The sequence below is a fragment of the Homo sapiens genome, chromosome 7 (genome assembly GCF_000001405.40).
Source record: "Homo sapiens chromosome 7, GRCh38.p14 Primary Assembly".
NCBI classification, from domain to species: Eukaryota; Metazoa; Chordata; class Mammalia; order Primates; family Hominidae; genus Homo; species Homo sapiens.
This window is the reverse complement of record NC_000007.14, coordinates 73,508,892-73,532,803: the sequence shown is the minus strand read 5'-3', so window position 1 is coordinate 73,532,803 and position 23,912 is coordinate 73,508,892. Positions and strand designations below refer to the sequence as shown.

General features: G+C 47.1%; 1 protein-coding gene across 3 annotated transcripts in view, besides 5 other annotated features; it reads left to right on the top strand.

Annotated features, from left to right (window-relative positions):
- Positions 7,015 to 7,084: an enhancer, noted in NCBI's record as "active region_26124". NCBI's record gives its function as "activates an Ori minimal core promoter by ATAC-STARR-seq in GM12878 lymphoblastoid cells {active_cell/tissue: GM12878}" and the evidence as "EXISTENCE:reporter gene assay evidence [ECO:0000049][PMID:35858748]".
- Positions 9,898 to 10,037: a silencer, noted in NCBI's record as "silent region_18249". NCBI's record gives its function as "represses an Ori minimal core promoter by ATAC-STARR-seq in GM12878 lymphoblastoid cells {active_cell/tissue: GM12878}" and the evidence as "EXISTENCE:reporter gene assay evidence [ECO:0000049][PMID:35858748]".
- Positions 10,168 to 10,327: an enhancer, noted in NCBI's record as "active region_26123". NCBI's record gives its function as "activates an Ori minimal core promoter by ATAC-STARR-seq in GM12878 lymphoblastoid cells {active_cell/tissue: GM12878}" and the evidence as "EXISTENCE:reporter gene assay evidence [ECO:0000049][PMID:35858748]".
- Positions 10,388 to 11,267: a silencer, noted in NCBI's record as "silent region_18248". NCBI's record gives its function as "represses an Ori minimal core promoter by ATAC-STARR-seq in GM12878 lymphoblastoid cells {active_cell/tissue: GM12878}" and the evidence as "EXISTENCE:reporter gene assay evidence [ECO:0000049][PMID:35858748]".
- BAZ1B (bromodomain adjacent to zinc finger domain 1B) overlaps positions 10,511 to 23,912 on the top strand; it is an 81,888-nt gene continuing 68,486 nt past the window's right edge. For all 3 annotated transcript variants that reach the window (NM_032408.4, NM_001370402.1, XM_047421016.1), the window contains exons 1-2: positions 10,511 to 10,977; positions 21,952 to 22,068. In NM_032408.4, coding sequence (NP_115784.1) covers positions 10,871 to 10,977; positions 21,952 to 22,068 — 224 coding nt within the window. In that variant the 5' untranslated portion in view covers positions 10,511 to 10,870. The remainder of the gene's footprint in view (positions 10,978 to 21,951; positions 22,069 to 23,912) is intronic.
- Positions 16,482 to 16,981: an enhancer, noted in NCBI's record as "H3K27ac hESC enhancer chr7:72930153-72930652 (GRCh37/hg19 assembly coordinates)". NCBI's record gives its function as "activates a minimal SCP1, AML or CMV promoter by ChIP-STARR-seq in naive H9 embryonic stem cells {active_cell/tissue: H9 hESC(naive)}" and the evidence as "EXISTENCE:reporter gene assay evidence [ECO:0000049][PMID:30033119]".

The following is a 23,912-nucleotide window of genomic DNA, read 5'->3' as shown; positions in this document are numbered from 1 at the left end:
ACTGCACTCCAGCCTGGCCTGGGCGACAGAGCAACACTATGTCTCAAAAAAATAAATAAATAAAAATATTTTACAAATACAGTTGTCCCTTGGTATCTGGAGGGGTTGGTTCCAGGACCCTGGTGGATACCAAAACCTGCAGATGCTCAAGTCCCACAGTAGGCCATGTTCTGCATCTCTTGAATCCGGTATTTTTGATCCACTACCAGTTGAATTTGTGGATACTGAGGGACAACTGTATTTGTTGCAAACATAATCTTGGTAGGTTCTTTGTAAAGTATAACTGGTAAACACATGGTCACTGCCTTTAAGGAGCTTATGGTCTGATGCAGCAGAGAAGGTGGAGAAGTAGGAGCCATGAGGGGTCGTGAAGGTGGAATACCATTAGGGTCTGGAGAAGAATCTTGGAGGCTTTGAGATCATAGAAAGTTTATAGAGCTGGGCGTGGTGGCTCACGCCTGTAATCCCAACACTTTGGGAGGTCAAGGCAGGCAGATCACCTGAGGTGAGGAATTTGAGACCAGCCTGGCAAACATGGCGAAACCCCATCTCTACTAGAAACACAAAAATTAGCCGGGCATGGTGGGCACCTGTAGTCCCAGCTACTCCAGAGGCTGAGGCAGGAGAATCACTTGAACCTGAGATGTGGAGGTTGCAGTGAGCTGAGATCATGCCACTGCACTCCAGCCTGGACGACAGAGTGAGACATCTTAAAAAAAAAAGTTTATAAAATAGGTGGTGTTTGAGTTGGGCCTTGAGAAATTTGGATATGAGATCTTTTTTTTCTTTTTTCCTTTGAGATGGAGTTTCGCTCTTGTCCAGGCTGGAGTATGATGGTGAAATCTTGGCTCACTGCAACCTCCAACTCCCGGGTTCAAGTGATTCTCCTGCCTCAGCCTCCCGTAGCTGGGATTACAGGCATGCGCCACCATGCCTAGCTAATTTGGTATTTTTAGTGAAGATGGGGATTTGCCATGTTGTTCAGCCTGGTCTCGAACTCCTGACCTTAGGTGATTCACCTGCCTCGGCTTCCCAAAGTGCTGGGATTACAGGCGTACGCCACCACGTCAGGCCAAAAAAATTTTTCTTTGTAGAGATGAGATCTCACTATTTTGCCCAAGCTGGTCTCAAACTCCTGGGTTCAAGCAATCCTCCCACCTCTGCCTCCCAAAGTGCTGGGATTACAGGCATGAGCCATTGTGCTCGGCCTACAGATATTCCCCCCCCCCCCCAGCTTTTTGGCTGAATTACTTGAAAATAGGTTGCAACATTATGACTCTGCTATGGTTTGAATGTGTCCTCCCCAAAATTCAGGTGTTGCCACTGTGATCGTATTAAGAGGTGGGGCTTTTTTTTTTTTTTTTTTTTGAGACGGGTCTCGTTCTGTCGCCCAGGCTGGAGTGCAGTGGCACGATCTTGGCTCACTGCAAGCTCCGCCTCCCAGGTTCACGCCATTCTCTTGCCTCAGCCTCTGGAGTAGCTGGGACTACAGGCGCCCGCCACCATGCCTGGCTAATTTTTCATATTTTTAGTAGGGACAAGGTTTCACCATGTTAGCCAGGATGGTCCTGATCTCCTGACCTCGTGATCCGCCTGCCTCAGCCTCCCAAAGTGCTGAGATTACAGGCGTGAGCCACTGCGCCCGGCCAAAAGGTGGGGCTTTTAAGAGGTGATTAGGCCATGGGGCTTCTCCATCATGAATGGGAGTAAGGCCCTTATAAAAGGTTTCAGCAGTGTTTGGCTCTCTAGCCCTTCTGCCTTCTGCCATGTGAAGATACAGGTTCCTCCCCACAAGGAGATTGCAACATCAAGGCACCATGTTGGAAGCAGAGAGCAGCCCTCACCAGATAATGAAACCAGCACCTTGATCTTGGACTACCCAGTTTCCAGAACTGTGGCCACATAAATTTGTGTTCCTTGTACATTACCCAGACTCAGGGATTTAGGTAGAGCTGCACAAATGGACTAAGACATTTTACCCCTAAATACTTGAGCTTCTATCTCCCAAGAACAAAGACGTTCCCTAACACAACTAGACTACCAAATCACACCCAAGAAATTTAACGGCCATGCACAGTGTCTCATGCCTGTAATCCCAACACTTTAGGAGACCGAGGTGGGTGGACTGCTTGAGCTCAGGAGTTCGAGACCAGCCTAGACAACATGGCAAAACCCCATCTCTACAAAAAATACAAAAATTAGTCGGGCGTGGTGGCACATGCCCGTAATCCCAGCTACTTGGGAGGCTGAGGCAAGAGAATAGCTTGAACCCAGGAGGTGGAGGTTGCAGTGAACCGAGATCATGCCACTGCACTCCAGCCTTGGTGACACGGTGAGACTCTGTCTCTAAATAGATAAATAAAATAAAATAAAATAAAATAAATGTCCAAATTGTTCCAGATTGGGCCAGTTAGCGCCTGTGCCCTTTGACATTTCTGCATCATGATTTCAGCAGTGCCTTACTGTCAGGTACGAAATGTTCCAGACTCACTTTTTTTTTTTTTTGAGACGGAGTCTCACTTTGCCACCCAGGCTCGGCTCACTTCAACCTCCACCTACCGGCTTCAAGCAATTCTCCCACCTCAGCCTCCCAAGTAGCTGGGATTACAGGCATGCACCACCACACCCAGCTAATTTTTGTATTTTTAGTAGAGACGGGTTTTCACCATGTTGACCAGGCTGGTCTTGAACTCCTGACCTCAGGTGATCCACCCACCTTGGCCTCCCAAAGTGCTGGGATTACACGCGTGAGCCACTGTGCCCGGCCCCGAACTTGTCCAGCCCCAGCCCTTTTTCAAGGAGCCCTGGATCTTTTTAGGGGGGAATCTTTTTAATTTTTTTATATTTTGAGACAGGGTCCCACTCTGTCATCCAGGCTAGAGGGCAGGGGGGCAATCACAGCTCACTGCAGCCTTGACCTCCCAGGCTCAAGTGATCTTCCCACCTCAGCCTCCTGAGTAGCTGGGGCTACAGGTACATGGCACCATGCCTGGGTAAATTTTAAAAATTATTTGTAGAGACAGGATGTTACTATATTGCCCAGGCTGGTATCAAACTTCTGGGCTCATGCAATCCTCCTGCTTCAGCCTCCCAAGGTGCTGGGATTACATGCAACAGCCACCATACCTGGCTGGCGTAGTATTTTAAAACCTAGATAGGCCAGTGCAGTGGCTCACAACTGTAATCCCAGCACTTTGGGAGGCCAAGGCGGGCATACTGCCTGAGGTCAGGAGTTGGAGACCATCCTGGCCAACATCGTGAAACCCTGTCTCTACTAAAAAAAAAATACAAAAAATTAGCCAGACATGGTGGCAGGCACCATTAATCCCAGCTACTTGGGAGGCTGAGGCAGGAGAATTGCTTGAACCTGGGAGGCGGAGGTTGCGGTGAGCTGAGATTGGGCCATTGCGCTCCAGCCTCGGCAACAATATGGAAACTCCATCTCAAAAAAAAAGAAAAACAAAAAACAAAACAAAACAAAAAAACTGGCCGGGCATGGTGGCTCACGCCTGTAATCCCAGCATTTTGGGAGGCCGAGGCAGGCGGATCACCTGAGGTTGGGAGTTCGAGACCAGCCTAACCAACATGGAGGAACCCCATGTCTACTAAAAATACAAAATTAGCTGAGCATAGTGGCACATGCCTGTAATCCCAGCTACTCTGGAGGCTGAGGCAGGAGAATTGCTTGAACCCAGGAGGCGGAGGTCGTGGTGAGCAGAGGTCGCGCCATGGCACTCCAGCCTGGGCAACAAGAGCGAAACTCCATCTCAAAAAAAAGAAAGAAAAAAACCAGCTGGGTGCAGTGGCTCACACCTGTAATCCCAGCACTTTGGGAGGCTGAGGTGGGTGGATCACGAGGTCAGGAGTTCAAGACCAGCCTGGCCAAGATGGTGAAACCCCGTCTCTACTAAAAAACAAAAGTAGCTTGGTGTGGTGGCAGGCACCTGTAATCCCAGCTACTTGGGAGGCTGAGGCAGGAGAATCGGTTGAACCTGGGCGGCAGAGGTTGCAAGGTTGCAGTGAGGCAATATTGCGCCACCGCACTCCAGCCTGGGTAATACAGTGAGACTCCGTCGCAAAAAAAAAAAAAAAAAAAAAAAAAAAACCTAGATAAACCTAGGTTTTGATAGCATAAGGAGTTTGAGGGCAGAAGTACCAAGATGGTGGATGGATTGTGGAGGGCCTTGAAGGTTAGGCCACAGTTTGGTTTAATTCTGTTTGCTTTAAGGAGCCATCCATTGGAAGCTGTAAACATTAGAGTGCCACGGTGTGCTGGATACCATGGAGAGGAAAGAGAGGGGAGGCAGGGAGACAGATGGGAAGGACAGTGCCTGCCGGATGTGTTTGCATATATTGAGAGAAGAGTTACAGTTCTGTCAGTCTGGGGACAGAGCAGAGATAGGTCCAGAGAAAACGAAGTAAAAACAGACTGAAGTCATCCAGAGACAACAAAAGAAAGGAAATGTAATGAGTTTACCACATGAATCATCTGAATAATGCATAATCATAAGTTATACGCTGCATGCTGATTTAGCCAATTGCAATATAATTCTTTTGGGAATATGTTTGCATATGTGCGTGGTGTTTGTGGGGCTAAGTTCTCATCTTCCACTGAAGAAAGTCAATAGCTAATATTTATAACTGAAAAACTAGGCCAGGCGCGGTGGCTCACGCCTGTAATCCCAGCACTTTGGAAGGCCGAGGTGGGTGGATTGTTTGAGCTCAGGAGTTCAGGACCAGCCTGGGCAACACAGCGAGCAAGACCCTGTCTCTACAAAAGATACAAAAATTAGGCTGGGTGCGGTGGCTCATGCCTGTAATCCCAGCACTTTGGGAGGCCGAGGCAGGTGGATCACTTGAGGTCAAGAGTTCGAGACCAGCCTGGCCAACATGGTGCAATACTGTCTCTACTAAAAATACAAAAATTAGCCAGGGGTGGCGGCAGGAGCCTGTAATCCCAGCTACTTGGGATGCTGAGGCAGGAGAATCGCTTGAGCCCGGGAGGTGGAGGTTGCAGTGAGCCAAGATTGCACCACTGCACTCCAGTCTGGGCAACAGAGCGAGACTTGGTCTCAAAAAAAAAAAAAAAAAAAAGATACAAAAATCAACTGGGTGGCACATGCCTGTGGTCCCAGCTACTCTAGAGGCTGAGGTGGGAGGACTGCTTGAGAAAGGGACTTCGAGGCTGCAGTGAGCTTTGATCACACCACTGCACTCCAGCCTGGGTGACACAGTGAGACCCTGTCTCAAAAAAAAAAAAAAAAAAAAAAGGAAAAAAAAACTGAAACTGAAAATAGCAGTATATGAATTATTAAAAATATAGAGCTAAAGACTAGAGGAAACGTTTAAGGAGTTGGAAATGGATGCCCAAGGGGAGCAGGAAGTGGTTAGAGGAGTGTGGCTGGGCTGCTTTTTGTAGGAGTATTTGATTTTCTTTGGAACTATGTTTTTATGTTTTTTAAAAATCCATCCATCTGCACACTGATATATGTTTCTTTTTGGAACTGTTTTCATTTTACCATGATAATACATAATTTGAATGCAACTGAAAACATTTTTTTAAGCAACAAGTCAGTATCATAGCAATTTTGGGCAGAAATAATAAAGGCCTGAAGCAGGTGCTGTGGAAAGACAGGAAGGGGAAACAGTTCAAGATTTTAGGCTGCTAGAATGGATGTTATCTAGTTGCCCCTGAGGCTGTGGAGCTCAAGAGAGAGGTCAGAGGCTGAGCCTGTGGGCTAAACAGGAAGGCGAAGCCATTAAGAGAAATAAAACCAGGGCCAGGTGCGGTGGCTCATGACTGTAATTACAGCACTTTGGGAGGCCAGAGTGAGAGGATCATTTGAGCCCAGGAGGCAGGAGTTTGAGAATAGCCCAGGCAATATATAGTGAGACGTGTCTTTATTAAAATATATATATATATATATATATATATTTTTTTTTTTTTAGATGGAGTCTCATTCTGTCACCCAGGCAGGAGTGCAGTGGCGCGATCTCGGCTCATTGCAACCTCCGCCTTCTGGGTTCAAGCGATTCTCCTGCCTCAGTCTCCCGAGTAGCTGGGACTACAGGCACACACCACCACACCCAGCTAAATTTTTATATTTTTAGTAGAGCCAGACAGGGTTTCACCATATTGGCCGGGCTGGTCTCCAACTCCTGACCTCGTGATTTGCCCGCCTCGGCCTCCCAAAGTGCTGGGATTACAGGCATGATCCACCCCTGCCCGGCCTAAAATAGTTTTTAAAATGTATTTTAAAAAAGAAAGAAAGAAAAAGAGCCAGGAGTGGTGGCTCACGCTTGTAATCCTGGCAGTTTGGGAGGCTTAGGTGGGTGGATCATTTGAGCTCAGGAATTTGAGACCATCCTGGGCAACATGGTGAGACCCTGTCTCTGCCAAAAACACAAAAAAAGAGCTGGGCATGGTGTTGTGTGCCTGTGGTCCCAGCTATTTGGGAGGCTGAGGTGGGAGGATCACTTGAGCCTGGGAGGTGGACGTTGCAGTGAGTTGAGATTGTGCAACTGCACTCCAGCCTGGGCAACAGAGTGAGACCCTATCTCAAAAACAAACTAATAATGTAGTCATTATAAAAACATAATCATAAAATATAGAAAAATATAAAGAAGAAAATCACATCAATTGTAATTCCAGTGAAAAAGGAGGGGTGAAAAAAAAGAAAAGAAAAAAAATTGTAATTCCAGGCCTGGTGCGGTGGCTTATGCCTGTAATCCCAGCACTTTGACAGGCTGAGGAGGGAGGAAACCTTGAGGCCAGGGGCTTGAGGCCAGCCTGGGCAACACAGTGAGACCCCATCCCCGTCACCGTCTCTACAAAAAAGAAAATACTTAGCAGGACATGGTGGTGTGTGCCTGTAGTCCCAGCTACTCTGGAGGCTGAGGATCTTGAGTCCAGGAGGTCGAGGTTGCAGTGAGCTGTGATCCCCCACTGCACTCACTCCAGCCTGGGCGACAGTGCAAGATCTTGTCTCAAAATGAGACAAAACGCAAAAACCATAAATCCATTTCCCCGAGATGAGCACTGTTCTTTATTTGGGGTCTCTTCATAAGCTCTATATGGTTCCTGAAGCTCAAGTTTCTGTACTGTGACCACCAAGCCCCACCTCCAGCTCCCACTTCCTCCCTCAGAATTTCCGGCTGTGTTCTGGATGGCTCTTCAGGGTACCTGGAGTTCACATGGCTGAAACCAAGCCCATTACCGATTTTCCCATCTCAGATCCCATCTTCACCAATCCCAGCAATGGATTCTAGCCCACAGCGGACCCAAGCGCTGAAATGATTATGGTGCCCAGTTCACATGTGCAAAGTGAGATGCTGTTCTGAAATATCAAATTGTTTTCTTTTGCTTTTTTTTTTTTTTTTTTGAGATGGAATTTCGCTTTATCGCCCAGACTGGGCACCATCTCAGCTCACTGCAACCTCTGCCTCCCGGGTTCAAGCAATTCTCCTGCCTCAGCCTCCCAAGTAGCTGGGATTACAGGTATGCGCCACCACGCCCGGCTGATTTTTGTATTTTTAGCAGAGACGGGGTTTTGCCATGTTGCCTAGACTTGTCTCAAACTCTTGGCCGCAAAGTATCCTCTCTCCTCAGCCTCCCAAAGTGCTGAGATTACAGGTGTGAGCCACCATGCCTAGCCCTGTAATTCCCTTCTAAGTAGTCACTCCGATTCAGCCATTACAGAATATATCAGGATGGTCACTTCCTTTACCATTCTCATCTGATATATTCTGCCTCAAATCCTCACATTTTGGGCACACGATCTTGAACTTCCAGGCTTCACTCTGCTGTTCTGTCTATAATGTTCGTCCCTCCTTCTCTGTCTAGAGAACTCTTTTCTTTTCTCAATTAACTCAAACGCTATGTGCTCTGGCAAGGCTTCTCCTGCTGTTCTTGGGAGAAAAGTCTACTGCCTCAAGGAAAAGGAACCGAGATCTTTTCTGCTAGGTGATCAGAGGAAACTTCACAGAGGTAGCTTTTGACCTAGACCTCCTAGTGGGGATAGGAGATCCTTGAGGTGAGAAGAAAAGGAGATAGAGGTCTGACATTAGGAGACTGCATTTAGAGACACCTCGCAGTCTAGCCCCGTTGAAGGACAGGCTGGGAAGGTACAGCTGGGAAGGTACAGGCTGGGAAACTTTAAAGTGAAGTTCTTTAAACTAAGGGAGACAGTTTAATAGGGAGATAACTTAATGAGTGTGTTTTTGATTGTACTGGAAAGCCAAACAAATTCTGGATGTGGGTGTTGTCTGCTTGGAGAAGCAACTGAAATGCTCCCCATTTAATAGCATTAAAATAGTTGATGCTATTTTCTTATTCTGCACTTTGTATAGAACTGTGATTATTATTATAATTTTTGAGACGGAGTTTTGCTCTTGTTGCCCAGGCTGGAGCGCAATAGCACAAACTCGGCTCACCGCAACCACCCCCTCTCGGATTCAAGCGATTCTCCTGCCTCAGCCTCTCGAATAGCTGGGATTACAGGCATGCGCCACCACGCCCGGCTAATTTTGTATTTTTAGTAGAGACAGGGTTTCTCCATGGTGCTCAGGCTGGTTTCGAACTCCCGAGCTCAGGTGAGGCGCCCGCCTCAGCCTCCCAAAATGCTGGGATTACAGGCGTGAGCCATCGTGCCCGACCAAACGTACCTATTTCCCCCCCCCCCCCGCCTCCCTGAGACGGAGTCTCGCTCTGTCGCCCAGGCTGGAGTGCAGTGGCACGATCTCCGCTCACTCCAAGCTCCACCTCCCGGGTTCACGCCATTCTGCCTCAGCTTCCCAGTAGCTGGGACTACAGGCACCCGCCACCACGCCTGGCTAATTTTTTGTATTTTTAGTAGAGACGGGGTTTCACCGTGTTAGCCAGGATGGTCTCCATCTCCTGACCCCGTGATCCGCCCGCCTCGGCCTCCCAAAGTGCTGGGATTACAGGGGTGAGCCACTGCGCCCGGCCCAGACGTACCTATTAAAGAGACATCCTGGCTGGGCACAGTGGGTCACGCCTAATCTCAGCACTTTGGGAGGCAGAGGCGGGACAATTGCTTGAGGCCAAGAGTTCGAGACCAGTCTGGGCAACAAAGTAAGACCCTGTCTCTACAAAAAAAATAAAAAATAAAAGGTAGATCCAATTCATTCAAATAGTATTCACTAGCACCTACAATGTTCCGAGCCAGGTGCTGAGTATCATGGGAGAAAAAAAAAAAAAGCCAGAGTCACAGCTCTGGCAGGGCGTGGTGGCTCACGCCTGTAATCCCAACACTTTGGGAGGCCGAGGCGGGTGGATCACCTGAGATCAGGAGTCCGAGACCAGCCTGACCAACATGGTGAAACCCCGTCTCTACAAAATACAAAAAATAGCCGGGTGTGGTGGCGCGCACCTGTAGTCCCAGCTACTCGGGAGGCCGAGGCAAGAGAATAGCTTGAACCCGGGAGGGAGAGGTTGCAGTGAGCCGAGACTGCACCACTGCACTCCAGCCTGGGCAACAAGAGTGAAACTCCGTCTCAAAAAAAAAAATAATGATAATTTTGGGAGGCCTAGGCGGTCGGATCACCTGAAGTCGGGAGTTTGAGACCAGCCTGACCAACATGGAGAAGCCCCGTCTCTACTAATAATACAAAATTGGCCGGGCGTGGTGGTGCACGCCAGTAATTCCAGCTACTTGGGAGGCTGAGGCAGGAGAATCTCTTGAACCCGGGAGGCGGAGGTTGCGGTGAGCCGATATCGCGCCATTGCCCTCCAGCCTGGGCGACAGAGCGAGACTCCGTCTCAAAAAAAACAAAAACCAAAAACCAAAAAACTAAGTACGTCTTTTAATCTATTTCTCCAAAGAAGCTTCTATATTCTACTTTCCAGCCAGCCCCTAGAAACAAGCAGTATACTTCTACCCAGATCTCAACCACACTCCCGCCCAGAAGTTAACTCTGGGGTGAGCAAAGCTGGCCCCCACGTTGTCCTTCCGCAGAACCTTTGGTAGGGTAAGCTCCCGGGGCCACTTCCCGCCAACCCCTCCCTGCAGCCCAGCCCCACCCGCGCATCCCCGGGCGTGGCCGAGCACGGCGCCTTTAAGAAGGGGGAGGCGCCCAAGAGGAAAGACAAAGCCCCTGGCCGCGCGCTCACCCTCCCCCTCCGGCGCACCACACGGACAGTGGTGCCCGGATGTCGGTGTCGCCGTCGGTGACAGATGGCGCAGTATCTGTATATGCGAGGGGCTTCTCCGGCTTGACCTCTTTGAGTTCTCGTCCTCTCCATCCCCCGCTGTCCCCCACTTTTAACTCTGCCGTCGGAGGCCCGCACGCCTATCACGGGCGCTTACATAACGTGACCTTTCACCTCTTCAGACTGCCCTCTAGTGCGCTGCAACCCAACTACGCGACAGGGGCAGGGGGGCGGGACCCAGGCGCGGAGCGGCAGCTCCTCCGAGCCAATAGGCTGTGAGCGCTGACCAGCTCTCCGCCTATTGGAGCATTCGCCACCGGCGCCACGGGGGAGCAAGTTAGTGTGTGCGTTGGCCGGGCCCGGGGGAGGAGGGGAATCTCCCGCCATTTTTCAATAATTTCCTCCGGTGCTGCTGAGGAGGAGTCGTGACTGCCGGCCGCCGGGACCCGAAGCGGAGGTCGGCGGGGGGCTGCTGGGAGGCGCGGCGGTGTGCGCGGGAGCTCTGCGCCGTGGCGTTCCGCTCCATGACTGTCGCGCGGCCGCGCCGGCGGTGAGGGAGCCGGAGTTCGCGCCGCCCTCTCACCCCTCCCTTCCCCCACCCCACCCCCGGGCGCCTGGCGCTCGCTCCGGGCCGCGGGGCCTAGTGCTGCGCCGCGGGGCCGGCCCCAGCAGCCGCCAGTCCCCACCGCCGCCGCCGCGATGGCGCCGCTCCTGGGCCGCAAGCCCTTCCCGCTGGTGAAGCCGTTGCCCGGAGAGGAGCCGCTCTTCACCATCCCGCACACTCAGGAGGCCTTCCGCACCCGGGAGTATCCTTTTCCAGCCGCGCGGGCCGGGCTGGGCCGGGCTGGGCCGGGGTAGGGCCTGGGGCTCGCGAGACCAGGTCAGCCGCGCATCCCCGGCCCGGGGCAGCTGTCAGCGCGCCCCGGCCGCTCGCGGGCCTGGAGGCTGAGTCTCAGCCTGCGCCCGCCGATCCTTCCAGGGGATCCGGCGGGGGGCGCGCACCGGCCCTGGAAGGAGAAGGGCCCGCTTCGGCCGCCCCCGGGGCCCCGCACTTTGTCCCGGGGCCTCGCCGGCGAGGAGCGCATCCCCCATCCCCATTACCTTCCCCGGGTTGGCTTTAGGCCTTGAGGACCCGAGAGGGAGGAGGAGGCGTGGGGAGGGGGAGCTAGGTTTTCTCCTTTAATTTTTACAAAAATTTTTTAAAAATTTAAATGAAACCTGCAGCTTAAGTTTTGAAATTGTACTCGCGCGGCCTCGTGATGCGGCGTGTGCAAGACTCAACTGCGTCTTACCCCGATCTCTGCGGGGATACTTGGCGTTTTTTTCGTCTCCCGAGGGGACTTTAGGCCGGGGATGAACTGACAGGACCCTGGGGCAGAAAACTAGGAATGAGATTCCCCGCTTAGAGGAAAGGGAGGGAAGGAAACTGCCTGTGGAGGAGCTGATGCCTGCCTTCCCTGGGCAGACACAGGTTTGAAATTTTGAAGGTTTAGAAGGAGATTGGTATTTGTTAAAATTAAACAAACAAAAAAACCAAGACGTGAAGTTTTTATGTTGTATTTTAGGAACATGAAATTGGATGTTTTACAAAGGAAGCATCCTCTCGTCATGACTAAGATTTCTTGCATAAGCATTATCTTTTAGTGAAAAGTTGTGCAGCTTTTATTTGCTTTTTTTTAATGGGTGCCAGAAGAATCGTTTTTGAGGCTTATCTGTAAAAAAAACAAAAACGATTTCGGAATCAAGCATTTCTTTGGTGACTGAAAGCTTTAAGAGTGAAGGCTAATGTGTTATGAGTTTTCTCAGCCCCTTCTGTTCGGAAGGACTTCATTTCTCAGTTTCTTGCTTGCTTCTGTATAGGAGGAAGTGTCTCTCAGAGTTATTTCATTTCTCCCTGATCCTCACTTTAACGCAGTACTTTAGAGGATAATCTCATTCTTGTTGGAGTGCAATTTGTGAGTGTCCCTTTGTGGGGAGTATACACACAAAGGGGCCTGGAAAATCAGTCCATGCTGGAGGAAGGCTCTTGGAGAAATAGAGCTGTAGCATCTTGGAGCTGAAGTGGATCTTGGAGGTGGTCGGGTCCTCGGGCTTGGTTTGCTGAGTTGGCCCAGAGAGTGGAGGTTGACTTGTTGAAGGTCAAATGATGAAAGAGGAGTAGAATCCACCGCTCTTCCTACCTCATCCCTGTAAGTCAATCAACAGAAGAAGGTGGAATGTTACTCCTTCACTTTCAATTAATTTAAATATTACCTCACTTTTTTGTCATTATGGTATAAGGTAAGGCACTTTAAAGTGGAGGGGTGGTGATCTGGTTTTTTTCTTGTCCTGTGAAGACTTGGAATGTTCTGGAGAAGTTCCACTAGCTCTACCAAATACTGCATTATACCGAAGTACCCCACTTTTTTTTTTTTTTTTTTTTGAGACGGAGTTTCCCTCTTGTTAACCCAGGTGGCAGTGCAGTGGCACGATCTGGGCTCACTGCCATCTCCGCCTCCAGGGTTCAAGTGATTCTCCTGCCTCAGCCTCCTGAGTAGCTAGGATTACAGGCGCGTGCCACCACGCCCGGCTAACTTTTTGTGTTTTTAGTAGAGATGGGGTTTTACCATGTTGGCCAGGCTGGTCTCAAACTCCTGACCTCAGGTGATCCGCCCATCTCGGCCTCCCAAAGTACTGGGATTAACAGGCGTGAGCCACCGCGCCTGGCCAGTACCCTACTTTTTAATACATTCGAATCGGCAGTGGAGTAGCAACTTGTGAGAATCCGACATATACTTTTCCAATGTCATTAATGTTTTGAGCCGTTGATGGATGCTCACACACTTTCAGATGATACTTTCTCAGGTCTGGTTCTAGCAGAGTATAAGAAACATGCCATAGAGAAGAGACAATTTCTAAGTATATTTCAGGTACTGAGCTATGTAAAAAATGGCTGTAGGAAGTTAATTTAGGACTGGCAACGCAGGCTTTTTCATATTATTGAATGAATGAAATTGAAATATATATATGAAGAGTTTTGATGGTAACAATTTAAAACTGAAACCGGAAACATTTTAAGTGGTATGTATTTAATAAACATTCTTCATTTTTTAATTTCCCATAACAGCATTTAAAACTGTTTTAACAAAAGAAGTCTTAAAACATATTATATATTGGGGGGAAATTGCTCTTTCGGGAATTTCTGCAAGTGGAAGCACTTTGAGGATGGTTTTTAAACAATTGTACTGTATGGTTGGCAGATTGGCATATTTCTTTATTAGGCTATTAGTGGTTTCATAGAGGAGAACAAATATGTGGTTAGGTAACAGCTGCCTTTGAAGTAGTATTCCCAGTTCTCAACTTATATTTACAATTATGTTTTTAATGGGACTTGATATTTTAATTTTCTTTTAATACCTACCTTTTGATTGCATGTATCACAGAACTTTGTGTGATATTTTACTGACTTAAAGCTGTATGTTGGTATGTTCTTGGAGTATATTGTGAATCTTCATTAAACTTAGTGGAAGTTGTGAGTAATGCACACATTTAATGACTAGGTGTTAAATATTGGTGATTATGTTGATTGTACTGTAGCTTTGTATGGTACATTACTTCCTAAGGTATTCCCACAGGCAGGACACTAGATCTTGGAAAACACTAACTTTATCAGAATCAGTTCTTGATGTGACACTGACTGTATTTAAGTCAAGATAGGTTTTAGGCAGGAATTGGAGCTACAAGCAGCGTGTTGTAGATGAGTATTTTTGTTGTGTTACTTCAACTGTCATAGTTTCTAAAGCTTAGAAATAACTAGTTCACGACCTTTGTAGCATCATTATGTGAGAATTTATTGAGGGTATGATAATGAGGGGCTTATTCATACTGTTAATCTGGCTCTACACAAGTGTGACTAGAGCATGTTTTTGTTTTGTTTTAAGAGATGGAATCTTGCTGTGTTGCCCAGGCTGGAGTGCAGCAGCTGTTCACAGACGAGGTGGTAGCACAGGGAAGCCTTGAACCGGACTCAAGAGATCCTCCTGCCTCAGCCTCCAGAGTAGCTGGGACTACAGGCACGCACTACTGCGTCTGCCTTAGAGCATGTGTTAAGAGTTGAGTAGCTATAGATGGAGTTAAGTTGTAGTTGTAAGATAGAGTTTTACTGGACATTTGGAATACTGAGCTCTTACGTTGATTTTTATTTTTATTTTTATTTTTATTTATTTATTTATTTATTTTTTGAGACGGAGTCTCGCTCTGTCGCCCAGGCTGGAGTGCAGTGGCGCGATCTAGGCTCACTGCAAGCTCCGCCTCCCGGGTTCACGCCATTTTCCTGCCTCAGCCTCCTGAGTAGCTGGGACTACAGGCGCCCGCCACCACGCCTGGCTAATTTTTTTTTTTTTTTTTGGTATTTTTAGTAGAGATGGGGTTTCATTGTGTTAGCCAGGATTGTCTTGATCTCCTGACCTTATGATCCGCCCGCCTCGGCCTCCCATAGTTCTGGGATTACAGACGTGAGCCACTGCGCCCAGCCTGATTTTTATACATTCTTTAAAGTAATACGTTATGCCATATTAGACTTGTTTTTAACTTAAAGACAGTCTGGAGTCTTTAAGAGAAAAAATCGAGTAAGAGAGAATATCGAGTAAAAAGCAAATCTTGAGTTGGCTCACTCTTTGCCATCTTCTGACTTAGAGCACTTAGGTTAGTTACAGTTATGCTTGTTTGACTCTATACTTATCTGGGCCACATCTTTTCAGGATATCAAGTACTTAATTGAAAGAAACAATCCCTGCAAGACTGAAGAGAACAAAGCAGCAGCATATTGTGATAAGGAGGTAGCTGATGGCAAAGTAGATACATAATGAGATAGTCTAGGATTCGAAAATATCTTATCTTTTATAGCTTACACAACCTTTGGAGAATTGCTTTGACATTTTGTCTGCAATTATATGTGCAGCAGTTGCTGGAACATAAAAACCTCAATTGGCATTTGCTCTGAGAGGTTATTTGAGAGTGAGTGACTTATTTTGGTAACCTAAAATCTGAAATAGGATTTAGAGGCAGCTGACTCAATATCCTTCTGATGGGCCTTTTTGCCTTTTCATTTTCATTTTTTTTCTTGCTTTCCCTTTTTTTCTTATTCATTTATTTATTGAGACAGGGTCTCACTCTGTTGCCCAGGCTGGAGTGCAGTGATGTGTGATCATGGCTTACTGCAGCCTCCAACTTCCCAGGCTCAAGTGATTCTTCCCACTCAGCCTGCTGAGTAGCTATAACCATAGGTGCACACCACCACGCCTAATTTTTGTATGTTTTGTAGAGACGAGACGAGGTCTTGCAAAGTTGCCCCGGCTGGTCTTGGATTTCTAGCCTCAAGTGATCCTCCCGCTTCAGCCTCCCAAAGTGCTGGAATTACAGGTATGAGCCACTGTGTGTGGCCTTACTTTCTCTCTTTTTTTTTTGTTTTTGAGCTGGGTTATTGCTGTGTCGCCCAGACTGGAGTGCAGTGGTGCGATCTTGGTTCACTACAACCTCCGCCTCCTGGGTTCAAGCAATTCTCCTGCCTCAGACTCCCAAGCAACTGGGATTACAGGCACCCACCACCACGCCTGGCTAATTTTTTGTATTTTTAGTAGAGATGGGGTTTTACCACGTTGGCCAGGCTGGTCTCGAACTCCTGACCTCAAGTTGATCCACCGGCCTCAGCCTCCCAAAGTGCTGGGATTACAGGCGTGAGCCACCATGCCCAGCCTTGCTTTCTCTTAATATAATTACCAGAACAGTTACCAGAACAGTTACACAAACTTAAAATAGCCGTTGTTAGGGGTTGTAGGAAATTCTTTTACAGTTGTTTTTTTTTTTTTTTTTTTTTTTTTTTGAGACAGTCACAGTCTGTCGCCCAGGCTGGAGTGCAATGGTGCAATCTTGGCTCACTGCAACCTCCGCCTCCCAACTTCGAGCAATTCTCCTGCCTCAGCCTCCCAAGTAGCTGGGATTACAGGCGCCTGCCACCATGCCTGGCTATTTTTTGTATTTTTAGTAGTTTCACCATGTTGGCTAGGCTGGTCTCGAATTCCTGACCTCAGTGATCCACCCCCTCGGCCTCCCACAGTGCTGGGATTACAGACGTGAGCCACCGCGCCTGGCCCCAGATTTTATAATCAGTTTGACTAGGCAATTAATTTTAAGTTAATACTGTCAGAGGACATTTTCTGAGATGTATACTTCAGGTTTCAGTGCTGTCCAACAAAAGTATAATGTAAGCCATATGTAATTTAAAATTTTGTAGTACTCTCATATTAAAAAAAGAAAAAAATGGTGGGAAAAAAGAAAACAGCTGGATGTGGTGGTGTGCGCCTGTAGTCCCAGCTACTCAGGAGGCCAAAGCTGGAGGATTCCTTAAACCCAGAAGCTTGAGACCAGACAAGGCAATGTAGTGAGACCACCATCTCCAAAAACATAAATAAATAATAAAAAAGAAAACCACATTTTTCTCTTTGCTTTTGAGTGGAGTCTCGCTCTGTAGCCCAGGCTGGAGTACAGTGGTGCCATCTCGGCTCACTGCAACCTCCACCTCCTGGGTTCAAGTGATTCTCCTGCCTCAGCCTCCCGAGTAGCTGGGACTACAGGCACGTGCACCACACCTGGCTCCTTTTTTGCACTTTTTAAGTAGAGACGGGGTTTCACCGTGTTGGCCAGGCTAGTCTCGAACACCTGGCCTCAAGTGATCCGTTCCCCTCTGCCTCCCAAAGTGCTGGGATTACAGGCGTGAGCCACCACACCCTTCCACATTTTTCTCATTTTAAGACCAAGGCTGACACCTGGTATGGTTGTTCATGCCAGCACTTTGGGAGGCTGAGGCAGGTGAATTGCTTGAGCCCAGGAATTTGAGGTCAGCCTGGACAACAGTGAATGAAACCCTGTCTCTACAAAAAAAATAGAAAAATTAGCTGGACATGCTGGCGTTTGCCTGTGGTCCCAATTACTTGGGAGGCTGAGGTGGGAGGATCACTTGAGTCCAGGAGGCAAAGGTTGCAGTGAAGCGAGATGGTGCTATTGCACTCCAGCTTGGGTGACAGAGCAAGACCCTGCTTCAAAAAAAAAAAAAAAAAAAAAAAAGGAACAAGGCTGGAGGGGCAGACCCTGTGTGTGACATGTCTTGCTTGCTAGTTTGCTAGTGGCACAAAGAAAGAGCTAGAAGACATCATGACTTTAAGCCTCTTCCGGGAAGTGACATATATTACATCTGCTCACATCTATTGGTCGAAACCAGTCACGGGGTCAAGCTTGATGTTAATGAAGAGGGGAGGTACATTCCTCTTCAGGGACCTTGTAGACAAGCCACATGGCAGTGGGTGGAGATGTAAAAATCCTCTTATGGAAAGGAGGTGAATAGTTAGAAACTAATACAATCTATCATATTTGAAGGTTCAATGAATGTTTTCTGGGAAAAGTTATTTTTGAGATCTAAAGGATGATTAGAATTTAGACGAATAATAGAGGACTGTATATTCTTGGCAGAGAAGGTGTGATGAGTTCGTCGTGATTGTGTGAGTTTGGAGGTTTTTTGTTTTTTTTTGAGACAGATTCTCACTCTGTCATCCAGGGTGGAGTACAGCGGTGTGATCTTGGCTCACTGCAACCTCCGCCTTCCTCATTCAAGCAGTTCTCTGCCTCAGCCTCCCGAGTAGCTGGGATTACAGGCGCCCGCCACCATGCGTGGCTAGTTTTTTAGTAGAGACAGGGTTTCACCATCTTGGCCAGGCTGGTCTTGAACTCCTAACCTCGTGATCCACCCACTTCAGCCTCCCAAAGTGCTGGGATTACAGGCGTGACCCACCATGCCCGGGCTAATCTTCTTTTTTTAGACAGTCTCCCTCTGTTGCTCTCCATCACAGCTCACTGCAACCTCCACCTCCTGGGCTCAAGTGATCCTCCCACCTCAGATCCCTGAGTAGCTGGAACTACAGGCCTGTGCCACCACATTCAACTAATTTTTTTTTAATAGAGATGGGGTTTTGCTATGTTGCCCAGGCTGCTCTTGAACTCCTGGGCTTGAGCGATGTTCGTGCCTGGGCCTCATAAACTGCCACTATGCAGTTTTTTTTTTTTTTTTTGAGACTGAGTTTCACTCTTGTTGCCCAGGCTACAGTGCAATGGCATGATCTCAGCTCACTGCGACCTCCGTCTCCAAGGTTCAAGCAGTTCTCCTGCATCAGCCTCCCGAGTAGCTGGGATTACAGCCGCACGCCACCACGCCTGGCTAATTTTTTGTATTTTTAGTAGAGACGGGGGTTTCACCATGTTGGCCACGCTGGTCTCGAACTCCTGACCTCAGGTGATCCACCTGCCTTGGCCTCCCAAAATGCCAGGATTATAGGCATGAGCCACTGTGCCTGGCCGGCCCCTACTTTTTTTTGTTTTGTTTTTTTCTGGCCCCTGCTTTTTAAAGTAACAACTCTAGGTTGAACATCCCAAATCCATAAATCAGAAATGCTCCAAAATCTGAAAGTTTTTGAGCCCCAACATGATCGTCAAAGGAAGAGCTCATTGGAGCATTTTGGATATTTGGATTTGGGATGCTGAACTAGTAAGTATAATGCAAATACTCCAAAATCTGAAAGAAATTCAAAATCCAAAATACTCCCGGTTCTAAGCATTTTGGATAAGGGATCCTCAACCTGTAATAATAAAAACTTACTGTTCTCTCTTTAAGACATATTTGTTAATGTATTTCTCTTACATTCTCTCTGATGACACAGTGAGTTTTTTTTTTTCTTTTAATAGTTTTTTGTAAAGTCGCTATGTTCAGGCTGGTTTTGAACCCCTGGGCTCAAGATCCCCCCACTTTGTCCTCCCAAATGCTGGGATTGCATGTGTAAGCTACCATGCCTGTTGGAGCTTCTTAAATATGGCTAAATAATGTGTTAGAATGTTATCAAGCTTTTTGAAAGCTTAAATAAGTCCACTTACTGATTCCTCCTCTGTCCTTATTTTACTACCCATCCCTTCCACTCCCCTAGTTCAGTAGACAAAAATAAGACAAATCCGTCTTGGGATAATGTCCTCTGGAAGCCGTTCCGTTGCTCTTCTCTGGGTATAAGTTTGAAAATTTTTCGGTGATTGGATTTACATATCTGTATATGGAAGTCTGACTCAGGTTTTTACTCAAACATTCTATATATTTTGTTTAATCACTTAGATATTAGCACCACCCCTGTAAGGAAAATGGATTTATTACTCAGTTTTAGCAGATCTGGGGAAAGATCCACAATGAGCAAAGGTGCTTATACTATTGCATAAAGTTACTATTTTGGATTACCTGTGGGTTTGTTCTTGTTTGCGTTTTTGCTGATCATAACCTTGGAAAACCAAGCATCTATATTTATTAAACATGCGGCTGGGCGTGGTGGCTCACACCTGTAATCCCATAACTTTGGGAGATTGAGGCAGGAGGACTGTTTGAGCCCAGGAGTTCAAGACCAACCTGGGCAATGTGGTGAGACCCTGACTCTGCAAAGATAAAAAATGTAGGTGGGCATGGTGGTGTGCACCTGTAGTCCTAGCTACTCAGGAGGCTGAGGCCCAGGATTGCTTGACCCCAGGAGGTCAAGGCTACAGTGAGCCATGATCCCACCACTGCACTTCAGCCTGGGTGACAGAGTGAGACCCTGTGTCAAAAATAAATACATAAATAGATAAAAATGAGCTAGATGCTGCAGTGTAAGTCTGTAATCCCAGCTATTCAGGAGGCTAAGGTAGGAGGATCTCTTGAGCTCAGGAGATACAGGCCAGCCTTGTTTCCAAAAAACAAAAATTAGAATATTTGTTTATTTGTTAGATAGTATTGTAGAGGAAACTGTTTAAATACTTTTATTTCAACCACTATAAAATGTGTCACTTGGAATATACAGGTATTGTTCACTAACTTTCTACTTATGTCAGTTGATTTTCTTACATAGCATCTGTTGCTGTGCTTAAAAGTAAATTAGTTACTTGCCGTTTGAATTTGGAAGTGGCTGGCTGATGGTGAATTCCAGTTGGTTTTGTGTGGAAAGTTGCCATATTTACACTACCAACTTGATGTTTTTCTTTCCCTCGTCTCCCTCACGAAGACTGTCTAAACGGCTAGTAAATGATCTTCTGAATCTCAGTATTATTGGAGACATCATAGAGACTGGATAAATATTATATCAAAAGTACTTTCCGGAATACTTCTAAGTATTTTATGAAATTTATTTTTTAAACCAGGGTAGCCAATCTTTTGGCCATATTGGAAGAAGAATTGTCTCGGGCCACACATAAAATACACTAACACTAAAAACAGTTGATCAGCTAAAAAAAAAAAAAATCACACAAAAAACTCATAATGTTTTAAGAAACTTTATGAACTTGTGTTGGGCTGTGTTCAAAGCCGTCCTGGGCCGCAGGTTGGACAAAGGTTGGACAAGCTTGTAAACCCTAAGAAGTAACATGTTTCCAAGGTGGACTGGAGGGCTGTGGGTAAATGGATCATTAATGTATGCTCAAGGTTATTCCAAACTGCCTGTGAGACTGTGGCCTAGTCACCTCATTTTACTGTAGACTGATTCCTTTTTTTTTTTTTTTTTTTTTTTTTTTTTGAGGTGGAGTTTCGCTCTTATCACCCAGGCTGTAGTGCAGTGGTGCCATCTCGGCTCACTGCAACGGCCTCCCAGGTTCAAGTGATTCTCCTGCCTCAGCCTCCTGAGTAGCTGGGATTACAGGCATGTGCCACCAAGCCCGGCTAATTTTTTTTTTTTTTTTGATTTTTAGTAGAGATGGGGTATCTCCATGTTGCTCAGGCTGGTCTCGAACATCTGACTTCAGGTGATCTGCCTGCCTCGGACTCCCAAAGTTCTGGGATTACAGGCGTGAGCCACCACGCCTGGCAGTGGTGGACTGACTCTTAAACTTGTCTGAGTTTTCTGAAAATTTTGCTTACCTTACATTGTTATTTTTTATGACTTGTGTTTTAATGTACCTTTACTTTTTCTTATGAGTTTTTGGTACAGCGTAAGTCTTGTGTAATGAAACTTTGGTGAATTGAGGAAATCACATTTGTACTAAAATATTAATTTTTTTTGTAAAACACGAAAAACCATTTTTATTATTTTTTATTTTTATTTTTTGTAGAGATGAGGTCTCATCATGTTGCCCAGGCTGGTCTCGAACTCCTGGTCTCAAGTGATTGTCCTGCCGTGGCCTCTCAAAATGCTGAGATTAGAGACGTGATCATCCCAGTCTGTAAATCCCATGCAGGTGCCCAGCCCATGACAATCCATTCTCATTATACTTCAGTCTTAGTCATCTTGCTTTGGGCCCTGATTCCATTTTTTTCATTTTTTTTTATTTTTTTTAGTTTTTGAGACGGAGCCGCACTGTCTCCCAGGCTTGAGTGCAGTGGCGTGATCTTGGCTCACTGCAAGCTCCGCCTCCCGGGTTCACGCCATTCTCCTGCCTCAGCCTCCTGAGTAGCTGGGACTACAGGCGCCCACAACCACTCACAGCTAATTTTTTGTATTTTTAGTAGACACGGGGTTTCACCGTGTTAGCCAGGCTGGTCTCGATCTGACCTCGTGATCCGCCCGCCTCGGCCTCCCAAAGTGCTGGGATTACAGGCGTGAACCACTGCGCCCGGCCTCCAATTCCATTTTTATCCTCTCATGCTACACATTTTAAAAAGGAGACTAGATTTTTTTCTGTATATAAGTATCTTATGGGTATGGGTTTGTCGTCTCTGTTGCTTGCATATTGTTTTCCTGAACTACTGCCAACAGAGAGTATGAAGCCCGCTTGGAAAGGTACAGTGAGCGCATTTGGACGTGCAAGAGTACTGGAAGCAGTCAGCTAACACACAAGGAAGCCTGGGAGGAAGAACAGGAAGTTGCTGAGCTGTAAGTAATGGAAGTATTGCTCTTTGCCACCATCTTCACATTGTTAGGAAAGGAGGGAATATTAACCCTAAAGCAGTATGTGTATTTAAGTTTATGGGGCACAAATTAGACTATATTACATTAGTGTACTGTATGGGTTTCTGGGTTCCTTTGCCTAATGGCATTTTGCAGTAGCAATATGGAATATTTATTTAGTTATAGGTGCACTTGTTTAGGTATTTACCAGGCCTTTGAGTGTTCCTGCTCCATACTTTGACCTTGTAAGTACTCTGGTAATGTGGTTTATTCTTTTTTGCTTTTTCTTTTTTTGAGACGGAATCTCGCTCTCGCCCAGGCTGGAGTGCAGTGGCACGATCTCGGCTCACTGCAAGCTCCGCCTCCCGGGTTCAAGTGATTCTCCTGCCTCAGCCTCCCAAGTAGCTGGGACTACAGGTGCTCGCCACCAAGCCCGGATAATTTTTTGTAGTTTTAGTAGAGATGGGGTTTCACTATGTTAGCCAGGATGGTCTCAATCTCCTGACCTCGTGATCCTCCCGCCTTGGCCTCCCAAAGTGCTGGGATTACAGGCGTGAGCTACCGCGCCTGGCCCTTATTCTTATTTTTATTTTTGAGATGGAGTCTCACTCTGTTGCCCAGGCTGGAATGCAGGGGCACGATTTCGGCCCACTGTAACCTCTATCTCCTGGGTTCAAGTGATTCTCGTGCCTCAGCCTCCTGAGTAGCTGGGTCTACAGGCGCTCACCACCACGCCTGGCTAATTTTTGTGTTTTTAGTAGAGATGGGGTTTCACCATGTTAGCCAGGCTGGTCTCGAACTCCTGACCTCAAGCGACCTGCTCATTTCGGCCTCCCAAAGTGCTGGGATTACAGGCGTGAACCACTGCACCCAACCGGGTATGATAATTAAATTTTTTTTTTTTTTTGCTAGTTTAATAAGTGAAAAGTGTTAAATCATTGCTGTCCTTTTGCAACAGCTCTGGTGTTCAAGTCACGTTTCCAACATGTTAACGCTTCCTGGTTTCCTTTTTTTTAAGAGGCACAGTTTCGCTCTGTTGCCCAGGGTGGAGTGCAGTGGTATGCACATAGCTCCTGGGATCAAGCCAGCCTCTTGCCTCAGCCTCTTACGTAGCTGGAACTATAGGTGCATGCCACCTCACCCAGCTAATTATTTTAGTTTTTTATAGAGGCAGGTTCTCACTCTGTTGGCCAGGCTGGTCTCAAACTCCTGGGCTCAAGCAATCCTCCCACCTGTGCCTTTCAAAGTGCTGGGACCCACTGTGTCCAGCAAACTGCATGTTTTTTTTTAATCTTTGTATTCCCCAGTGCTTTACGTATATTTGCTAAAGCAGTGTTGTTTTGCTGTGAACCTAAAACTCGTAAAATGTTAAGTGTTTTTTTTTGTTTGTTTGTTTTTTGAGACTGAGTCTCTCTCTGTTGCCCAGGCTGGAGTGCAATGGTGTGATCTTGGCTCACTGCAACCTTCGCTTCCCGTGTTCAAGTGATTCTCCTGCCTCAGCCTCCCGAGTAGCTGGGATTACAGGCATGTGCCACCACGCCCGGCTAATTCTTGTATTTTGAGTAGAGACAGGGTTTCGCCATGTTGGCCAGGCTGGCCTTGAACTCCTGACCTCAGGTGATCTGCCCGCCTTGGCCTCCCAAAGTGCTAGGATTACAGGTGTGAGCCACCACGCCCAGCCAAAAGTTAAGTCTTTTTTTTTTTTTTTGAGATGGAATCTCGCTCTGTCGCCCAGGCTGGAGTGCAGTGGTGCGATCTCGGCTCACTGTAAGCTCCGCTTCCTGGGTTCATGCCATTCTCCTGCCTCAGCCTCCCAAGTAGCTGGGACG